We start from the raw sequence: 10,396 nt of genomic DNA on the forward strand, positions 1-10,396 counted from the left end.
AAGTACACTTGGAAGAAGGCCAAGTGAGCAACTTGGGAGATTGGGTGCATGGTTTGGCCTTTGACTTGGGGTTTTATATGTTGGCAATCTTCTGGAGTCAATGATTCCCTTGGGGTGGGCTGTCTGCATGCGCAGTGGCCGGCCAGCACTTGGGAGGGGCCGCAAGCCCAGTGTGTTTACTGGAGTTGTGCATATACTTACTTGAGGCGTTCTTCCCTTACCAGTCGAATGTTCCTGTAAGGTCATGTATCAGTTAAACTCTGCCATTTTGCCCCTTAATGTACATGCTTGAGCTTTCTTGCCCAAATCCTGAGATCTTATCAGAAGCTGCTGATCACCAGTTTCAGGTGTTTCTATCTATTGGGAGACTGCCTTTCCCTGGCACTGGCTGCAACCAATTATTACTTTAGAGAGTCAGCTTAACAACTGGCTGGCCGGCTGGGTGCAGTGGCTCATGCCTGTAATCCCAGCACTTTGGGAGGCTGAGGCAGGCGGATCACCTGAGGTCAGGAGTTTGAGACCAGCCTGGCCAACGTGGCAAAACCCCGTCTCTACTAAAAATACAACAATTAGCTGGGCGTGGTGGCGGGTGGGAGACTGTAATCCCAGCTACTTGGGAGTTTGAGGCAGGAGAATCTCTTGAACCCGGGTAGCAGAGGTTGCAGTGAGCCGAGGTCATGCCACTGTACTCCAACCTGGGCAACAGAGTGAGACTCCATCTCAAAAAAAAAGAAAAACAACAAAAATAACTTGGCTGACCATCACCTGATGGTTGCCTGACATTCCTGGTAGTGGGGGCCTCTCTTGGCCTGCTCCTGTCTGCCTGACTATCTACTATAATATAACTAAGCCCAGTAGTAGGGGAAATCCTTTGTTTTGTTAAAATAGGCCACTGGGTAGAGGTTGTTGCTTTGTAGATTTTAGGATCTATCAACATAATACCAAGAAGAAACCACAAAGGAAAAAGTGGTAAATCCAAATACAAAAGTGTTTAGAAGTTTATTAAACATTTTATTACACACCTGTATTGCCTAAAGTTTCTATAACAAACATCTTACATTGGAACGATTTTCTTGTTTTTATTTTCTACAAAAAAAAAAGCGGGGGGACATTAAAATTAAGCATAGAAATGGTGGAACTTTGGGATTTCCTGTCCAGTCACCTGCGAGTCAGGTTTTATTCCAATTGATTCAACGTGGCAGATTAAATGTGAAAAGTAAAATGGTGGGCTCCTTTAGGCAGCAAGTCTTGCTTCTCTCCTGGTTACCTCTGCCTACATAGATATTTGGTTAAGCAAGATGTTTATACCCCCACACATATTCTAGATAGTTCTGGTCATGAAGTAAGTCACAATTTTCCATATCTGCACAATTTTTAAAAAATGGAACTACCCATCTGCACAAAATCTTTGGGAGTGCAGGGTAGGCCAGGCAGTGGAGGAGAAATTGACACCAACTTCCCTGAGAGCTTCCAAAGTAAGAAAGCATCCCTTTTTCCTACGTCAACTCCTGGTTGCATGCTGGAAAATGCAGCAAGTGAGGCACACCAAGCATAGACGCAAAAATCGGAACACAACTGTAAGGTAGCCAGGCTGGCAGGTGTAGGGCCGAAATGGCTGCACACCACCACACTAAAATGTCTGCTACAGCCGCACATTTACAATCAGTTTGGTGATATTTCCAACACAGGCTGGGGGATTGAGTTTCCCCCATATAAGGCAATGACAAGGATTTCAAATGGACCAAACATTTTATATTAGTGTCAACAGCACTAACACAGCTTCAGCTGGCGGAGGAGAGGGAAACCAAGAATATCCACATTATTTACTCCAGAGAAACTTCCTGACACCATCTGTTCTCTGTTACCCCCCACCCACCAATGTGGCCCTTTCCTAGTGCACCCTTGCCTAGCTCTGCGAACCCCTCAGTTATGTCTCTTGGCCCAAGAATTTCAAAACCCCATGTTTTCCTGAATAAAGAGATTCGGAAAGTTCATTTCAACAGAGTGACTGGTAACACAGAAGATCTCTTAATGCTGCAAAGTATTATTAGTTGTCCAGCTGCAAAGATGATTTGTTGTATTTACCTTTATTCTAGGATTGAATGTAATGCTTTTGCTATACAATGTGGTGGCTGGGGGACGGTGAGGCGGAGGGGACAGAGGGATTGAGCTAGATTACACAGCGTAGAAAATCAATGCTCTTACACTCTAGGGTCTGAGAACTGGTTCAGGGTCACAGAAGTGAATAAGAAAGCCAACTGAACTAGCAATAGGAAATAGGTTACACAGAGCAAAGAAAAAACAAGTTTCTGAAACATGTACAAACTACATATGATGTCTATATTTGTGTCTAGCTGATGTGTATACAAACATTGGCCTTTCTGGAGATAAACTGTCCCCCTCTGAAAATCAGGGTAACACTATTAGTAAGTCAAGACCAAAACAAGAGCCAACAGTAATGACAGTACTATATTTGATCTATACGGCCTGGAAAAGGGAATTAAAATGAGACCCTTCAAGAGAGAAAACCCCAATAACTTTTCATTAAAAATAAAAATGACCCATTTATACAGAAGGAGTTCAAAATTTATTTATAAATTTGTGTAAAAGAATATAAGACCTTTTTCTTTTGTACATATTTGTACCATAAAGAAAGTAGGGATTAAAATCTAAAAAGACCCCCAAAGCTTTCAAAACCTGATCTGAGAATTAGATAAGAATATGTCACTTAGAAAGACAAGCCTGTAGCACCCATAGCTCTGATTAACCTGAAAGCATCAAGTGACTCCCTCTTTTTCTACCCTACCAACATCACTCTAATTATACTTCCAATTAGAAAAATAATGTAGCATTTCCCTGGCAGTAGAGATTAAATATGAGTTCAGGAATCAGCTCCTCCAAACATGCATAAATGAGGACAAGGAGAAGCCAGTCACTCCTGACTGCACGGTCAAGTGTGTGGGCAGTTGAAATTAAGGTAAAAACAGTGAGGCTGAACAAAATCACATTAAGAAAAAGCATCTCATGAGGCTTTTCGAGGTCAGTTGATGAAGGCCAGATAGGAGTCAATATTTTCTCATATACCCTGGAAGAAAAAGAAAACAAAAATTACTGCAAGCAGCAAAATAAAATTCAAAGCCTTTGTAGTCAAAAATGAAGTTCCTGCAAAGAACGCTCTTATGCATCAAGCTGAAATGACCATTTTTTAAAATTAACAACTTAAATGACCATTGAAACGATTTGATTTTCAAGTCACATTGCATTTGATTCACAAAATAGTCTTGGTCAATAAGGTAATGGCTTGTCAAGTGATGTCTTATTGGCTGTGTTCTTAGAGATAGACTAACAGAGGTGACAAATATACAGTTCGAAAATGTTGTCACCCACCTACACAGTTACAGCAAGGACAGGATGAACACATGTGGAACAGAGCAATTTAAATGGAAATGTCTCAAGTAGGGTTACGCTGTATTATACAGCAGAAAGGTGACTTCTAAGAGGACCTTGATGTAGGGAGATAGATTGGTGAGTCTCCACTCCTACCATGTGCAAAGGGTCAAGAAACCTCCATCAAGCCTTCTGCAGTGCTGGGCCACGCTACGTATGGAATACACACCATTGCTGTTTCTTCTAACACTTTGAGAAATTAAAATCTCAGGTTGCCTCATTGGTCATAGGAAATGCTTAACTGCCCCTGAAGACATAGGATTTAGAGTTTCCACAGCATCCCAAAGAGCCTCACCTATTGTATCAGAGGAAATATTATTTAAAGGGATGTTTTTAAGTGACCCACCTTAGGTGCCTCGAAAAAACTAATAGAGAACCCTAGAAAAATAAAAAAATATATTTTTTACATATAAAAGCAATTATTGAAGAATAAATGTATATGTTAAGAAATATGAGAAGACTGATTTAAATTAACAATGATTAAAAAATAAAAATCAATCCACCTAACATACACACTTATTGGGGGCCTACTGCTTAAGTGTCTATATGACATTTCAAGAAACCACTGCTTCTTTCCATGGCTTGGTTTTATCATAATTTCTGCCTTCCTCCTTGTTTACTCTGTCTCTGGCTTTTTACTGGTTCCGATATTTCCTCCAAGCCTCTGTGAATTGAGGCATAGCTTTCCTCTTTCATTCTTTGGAGAAGCTCAGTCCTCATCTATCAGTCTTTAAATGGTGACATATCCTTAATTTAATAGTAATTCAAATATATTGATATAATTTAAGTTGCTAATTCTATATATTAATTTTGTCCACTTGTTATTTGCAGAACATGTCCTAAATAAAAGTTTAATTTATGGCCTCTCCTCTTACTTTTGTATGATATTCTTTTATGAACAGATGTTTTAAAATTTAATGTAGATATAGTTATCTTTTTTGTTATTGTTGTTTATACCTTGGGTCTTACAAAATCCTTTCTCAGCTCTATTTTATAAACAGCCTCTTTTATTTTCTAAAATGTAAAAGTCTTCCTTCCTACTTATAAGCTTTAATCCAGTTAGAATTTTTTTATGAATTATGTCGGGACCTAATTTCATGTAAGTACTCAATTGTCCCCACAGCATTTGCCAGAGTCTGTTTCCCCCCAGTGATGTGCTCTGCCCCGTCTGTCATACAAAAAACTAAAAAATTCAGAAATGTTGGGTGTGCTGGGCCAACTGCATACCGCATTAAATACACAATTAAGTCCCCATATATACTTCTTTATCTTTAGGAGTGAATTGGTTACTCTCAGTTCTTTGCTTTGATTCCAATTTATGTGAATCTATAGCTTATTTGAGAGCTCATTCCTATCTATTAACAAGGTATAACTCTCCATTTATTTATTCCACAGCATCTTTCTACAAAATTTAAGAATTTTTTTTCTTTTCTTTTTTTTTTTTTTTTTTTGAGAAAGAGTCTCGCTCTGTCACCCAGGCTGGACTGTGGTGGCGCAATCCCTGCTCACCGCAAGCTCCGCCTCCCAGGTTCACGCCATTCTCCCGCCTCAGCCTCCCAAGTAGCTGGGACTACAGGAGCCCGCCACCACGCCCGGCTAATATTTTTGTGTTTTTAGTAGAGACGGGGTTTCATCTTGTTAGCCAGGATGGTCTCGATCTCCTGACCTCGTGATCCGCCCACCTCGGCCTCCCAATGTGGTGGGATTACAGGCGTGAGCTACCGCTCCCGGCTAATTTTAGAATTTTTTAAAAAGGGTCATTCATATTTTTGGTTGGATCTTTTTATTAGATTTTTTATTTATTCCTAATGTGTAGAAATGTAGTTTTTACATATTGATCTTATATCTACTAACAGTGCCAAGCCTTTTTTTCTTCTAATAATTTGAATGTAAATTCTTTTGGATTTTCTACGTAAATAATTGTATCATCTGTGATTTATAAAGGCTTTTTTTCCCCCTTTTCAATCCTTATATCTTAACGGAAATGTTTTTAATGTATTTTTATTATTATTATACAGTTTTGATCCCTTTATGAGGCAAAGAAATTTCCCTTCTATTCCTAGTTTCCTAGAAGATTTTACCACAAGTGAGTATTGTAATTTAGCAAATGCTTTTTCTGTACTAATTGAGATGATCGTATGGAGTTTCTTTTATAATTTATGAGGTGAATTATCTCAGTAGGTTTTTTGTTTTGTCTGCAATAAGCCAAGCTTGCAATTCTGGAACAAATTCTATCTCATCAGGATATGTTATGCTTTTTCATATTTATTCTGTCAAAATCTTGTGATTGTTTTGAATCTATGTTTATGAGTGATAGTCTATTTTTTTTCTATACGGTCTTTGTCTAATTTTAATTCAAAGTCATGTTTACCTGCTTAATCATTTTGGATAATACTTCCTTCTTTTTAATCAGAAAAACTTTCTAGACATTTGAAATAATCTGTTCCTTGAAAGTTTAATAGAATTTGGCTCTAATATGTATAGGCCTGGTCTTCGTTTAATGGGAAGACAGTAAGACATAGATGTTGATAGTGTTTGTATCATTTTGCATGCCCACCAATAATGTGTAAAGTACCCACTTCCCCACAGCCTTGCCAACAGAGTATATTGTCAATATTTTAGGAGGGTTTTTTTTGCCAAATAATTGATAAGAAATGGCATTTTGGTTTAATTCTTTTTGAAGTCTGCTTGGTTGTCTTTCATTATCTCCTATTTTTTCCTCATTATTTCAAATCCAATTTTTATTTCATCAAACGTTTTATACATCGTGATTTTAAATTCAGTATCTAATCATTTTAGCATGTGAAATCATCTGGCTCTAAGTCTTTCTATTGTGTTTGTGATGTTGAATCACAACCACTTGTTTCCTTGTGTGTGTGGTAAGTTCCAGTTATTGTTTTATGCCTGGGATACACCACTGAACACAACAATCCAATGGCCCCACCCTTGTAGAATGTGGAACATACATCACCACAGGGAGAGGCGAAGAGTAAACAGTCAACAAAACATACAAGGAAATTATGTTTTAAAAGTATGTTAGAAGTTGAAGAGTGCTATAGAAAAAGGGAGGGGAGCCTAGAAAGGGGACTGCAGGAGCCAGGGTGAGAGGACAGGCAGCAGCTTTAACTAGGATGCCAAGGTAATCTCACTGAGACCGTGGAATTCAAGAAAGTAAATGAAGGAGGACAAACCATATGGATATTTTGGAGAATAGTGTAGACAGAGCACCCAGTGCTCTCAGCAAGAAAGCTGGTGTGGCTAGAGAGAAATGAAGAAGGAGAGCAGCAGGAGAGCCAGAGGGCTAAGAAGGAGTCTGGATCATGCAGCACCTGGTAAGCTGCTGGAAGGACTTCGGCTTTTACTCCAAGTGATTTGGGGGTGGCGAAAGCCATTGGAGGGGTATGCAGAGTCAGAATCTGACTTCTGTCAGTCTTGTATCGAGAACAGACTGTAGGTAAGTAATTGTGGGAGTAAGGAAACCATCTAGGAGACTACTGCAAGCATCTGGATGAGCACTGAGAGAGGCTGGAAGCAGGATAATGATGATAAGGGTGGTGAGAAGCTGTTGGATTGGATGTATTGGGAAGGAAGAGTCAAGAGGATTTGTTGATGGCTAGCTGTGTGGGTGTGAGAGAGGGATTGCACCGTTATGGAAACAGGAAAATGTGCAGACAGAGCACTAGGGTAAAGGGGATCAAAGGTTAGGTTTTAGACATGTTAAGGCTGAAATGTCTATTACATATCTTGGATAAGTAGAGATGTGTTGGGTAGGCAACTGGGTACACAAGTCTGGAGTTTGGAGGAAGGGGTCTGGGCTGGAAATAGAAACTTGGGAGTCATGAACATATAGATAGTATCTAATTTCATAAGAATGAATGAGTATCTAATTTCATAAGAAAGAATGTATTAAGTGAACATCAGTTCAGAAAGTGGTCCAAGGTAGATCCCTGAGGCACTTCACTGTTGAAAGGACAGGCAGATGCAAGGAATTCAGCAAAGAGGGATGAAAACGGGTTATCACTGAGGTATATGAAAACCCAGGAGAGAGTACAGTGTCACAGAAGCTAAGTAAAGAAACAGTTTCAAAGAAGAGGGAGTGATTCACCATGACAAAGAATGGCGATCAGTCAAAAGAGGAAGATTGAGAAATAATCGTTGGATTTTGCAATGTGAACATTTTTAGTGACCATGAAAAGAACATTCTTTTTGATGGGTAGATTCTAAAACCTTGTAACAGTGGGTTTAAGAAAAAAATAAAGAAATTAGAGATAGCAAGGAGAGGCACCTTTTGATGTTTTACTCTGAAGGAGGACAGAGAAACAGGGCAGTAGCAAGAAGGAAATGTGCTATCAACAGAATTTATGTTGATTTATGTTTTATGCTGATGGAAGTGTTCTAGTCGAGATGGAACATTCAGCAATTCAGTAGAGAGGAGAGAGTATTATTAGAACAAAGTCCCCCAGGAGGTGGAGAAGAAGATAAATCATAAAGCAAAGCAAGCACAGAAGTGCAGATGTCTGGAGGTCAACAGAGGTGAAGGTGGGAGCCTGAGGAACTTCCCAGGTTTCTCTTGCTGCTTCTTTTAAGTAAGGAAAGCACTGATAACCCATTTGGACTTGGATATGCCCATCCTACTAAAAATTTCACCCAATCAGCCTCACTATTACATCATGAGGAAACAATGCTCCTCTCTTTGATCTGTGAGGAGTCTAAGCAGAGATTTATGGCTCACTAAGGCCTGCCAATAGTCATTGGTGAGCCAGATTGCCACATCCTCACATCCTCAGCAGAAGCCTATGCAATATCCATTTATGCTCTCCCATCATCTTCCCCTCAGTCCCAGATAGGTGCTTTCTAAGTTTTAAGAGCGGTTCCATAGAGAAGAAATGACAACCATACAGTGTGTTTCCAAGCCCTGACCAAAATCTAAATTCCAATTGTGTTTCACAACTAAGTTATACAAGCTTGGATAATGTCTTCAACTCACAATGGCCCATTTTCCACATGACTCCTACTCACATACTGTTACAAGACACTATGTGTACTTTGTATCACACAATGCAAAGATCCTGCGTTTCAATTATTTTCTCTGTTCCATACTGTCCCTATTCTGAATGCCAGAGTGTAACAAATGAGCATATATTACGGATAAATAGACACATCCAGGCAGTGTTCTCTGCAAATTTGCTTCTGTTCAATTATCTTAAATATGTATACATTTATAAAATCCACTCATCAATGTAAACTACTAGATTACTAGATGTCTTTCAAAGGTACATGCTGTAAGATTTCTAACAGATTGACTTCTCAAACATGATCTTTTGTCTGTCAAGTATTTATTAAAGGAAGATCTTCTCTAGATTTTCTAGGTCAGCAAGCACTTGATTATTTTGTTGTATTGTGACCAATTTACAGATTTCTATCTGATGTGTGTATATAAAGGGAGTGAGTGAGAGAGAGAGAAGGTAGTTATACACTTGGGCTTCAATTAAACTGTAAGACCTATGGTCTTTAGTTTTGATTTTGTACACATTGCAAACCTCACAATTATATATGTTCCAAAGCTTTGGTGCTCGTTCAATAATATATCATGCACACAAAATACATTAAACACATATTGCAACACAGTTGCAAGGTTTTCATCACAGAAATAGGTAAGGACATTTCATTTTTTAAAAGTGCCTTTTGCTATAGGGTTTCTAAAAAATCATTTCATAGTGAAAAATTAACTACTGGTTTCTTTGATGTGTTAGTTTGACTGAAAGAATATATTACTAGAGAATGCTTATTATTTTTATAACCATATTTCTGAAAAAAAAAAAAAAAAAACGTTCATTTGTTTTTTTGTAGGTCTGGGCAAGGGATGATAAAAACCCTTAAAGTCCAGGCAATCATGCTGAGAACAAAGGGCAGGTGTCATTTTTTACTGTGATTGGCCAGAGCTGAAATCAGGACTTTCTCCCTCTAGCAGAAGCTATTGTGGAATTTACAGTAATCCCCCTGGCTGACTGCCCATCACACTGCCAAACAGCACAACAACAAAAACGTAATATCTGGGGAGAAGGCCAAAACATATATTAAAAATTCTCATTGTTTTTATTCTTCAACATTGAAAGATGATTTAAGAGAAAAGAAAAAACTCACCCAGCTGTTACCGCTATTCATATTCCAACAGCCTCCAGATTGCTCGAGGCCACCTGGTTGACTTTTGCCTTGGAGTCGGTCCAGAAAAGCATTATTTACCCTTTAAAACAATGAAAAATGTGTGTGAGTAGAAAACTTGCTGCAGGGCTGAGAGATTTCTGAGAATCTAATGTGTTGTATGAACTGACCATGGGGATAGCTTCCTGGCTTCAGCTTAGAAGAAATCCACAGAAACTTCTCTTCACACTAACCATATGACATGCTGTTAACCCCTCTTTACTGGAGCTGGTGCCAATCTTGGCTCAAGCCAAAGGGGATACGAATTCTTAACCTGAGAGTTTCAGGCACTCATCTCCTGCCAGTTCAGCAAGACCCTAGTTCAAGAAAGAAACTACAGCCCTCAGAATCATGCCAGGTATGAACCTCAGAGGCTGGAGAGAGAAAGAAGCCTCAGCATGAACCAAAACATGAAGAAGAACCAAAGATAGCTCTATGGCATTATTGTTGCAAGATAGATGTCCTTCCTATATTCCCTGCACTCCACTGCCAGTCTTGCTAAAGTAAACCCCATACATGAAAAGCAGAAATGGAAGGTGAGCTTATATTATTCTATTTCTGGAGCTTGCTACCTGGTTGTTCACTTTATAATTAATCACTATAAATATCTGTTTTGTGGACCTTTCTGTGTTTCATATTACAGTTTTTAAATTTAAAATAATAAATCACAGGTAACGTCGTGCTCTGAGTTGCCCACGTATGGCTGAGTAGAGTCAGGGACTTGGAAGCTGAAGAAATGGCACTGCAA

The 10,396-nt window shown here is 39.0% G+C and overlaps 1 protein-coding gene across 14 annotated transcripts in view; it reads right to left on the reverse strand.

Moving 5' to 3' along the window:
• EPSTI1 (epithelial stromal interaction 1) overlaps window positions 971-10,396 on the reverse strand; it is a 105,854-nt gene continuing 96,428 nt past the window's right edge. For 10 of the 14 annotated variants that reach the window (XM_011535313.2, XM_005266596.2, NM_001002264.4 and 7 more), the window contains 3 exons: window positions 9,592-9,691; window positions 3,794-3,825; window positions 971-3,085 (listed from right to left, as the gene is read on the reverse strand). In XM_011535313.2, the coding sequence (XP_011533615.1) occupies window positions 2,833-3,085; window positions 3,794-3,825; window positions 9,592-9,691 (385 nt within the window). In that variant the 3' untranslated portion in view covers window positions 971-2,832. The remainder of the gene's footprint in view (window positions 3,086-3,793; window positions 3,826-9,591; window positions 9,692-10,396) is intronic. The other 4 variants (NM_001331228.2, NM_033255.5, NM_001330543.2 and 1 more) reach the window with 1 other exon arrangement.

This window comes from Homo sapiens, chromosome 13, assembly GCF_000001405.40.
Source record: "Homo sapiens chromosome 13, GRCh38.p14 Primary Assembly".
Lineage (NCBI taxonomy): Eukaryota > Metazoa > Chordata > Mammalia > Primates > Hominidae > Homo > Homo sapiens.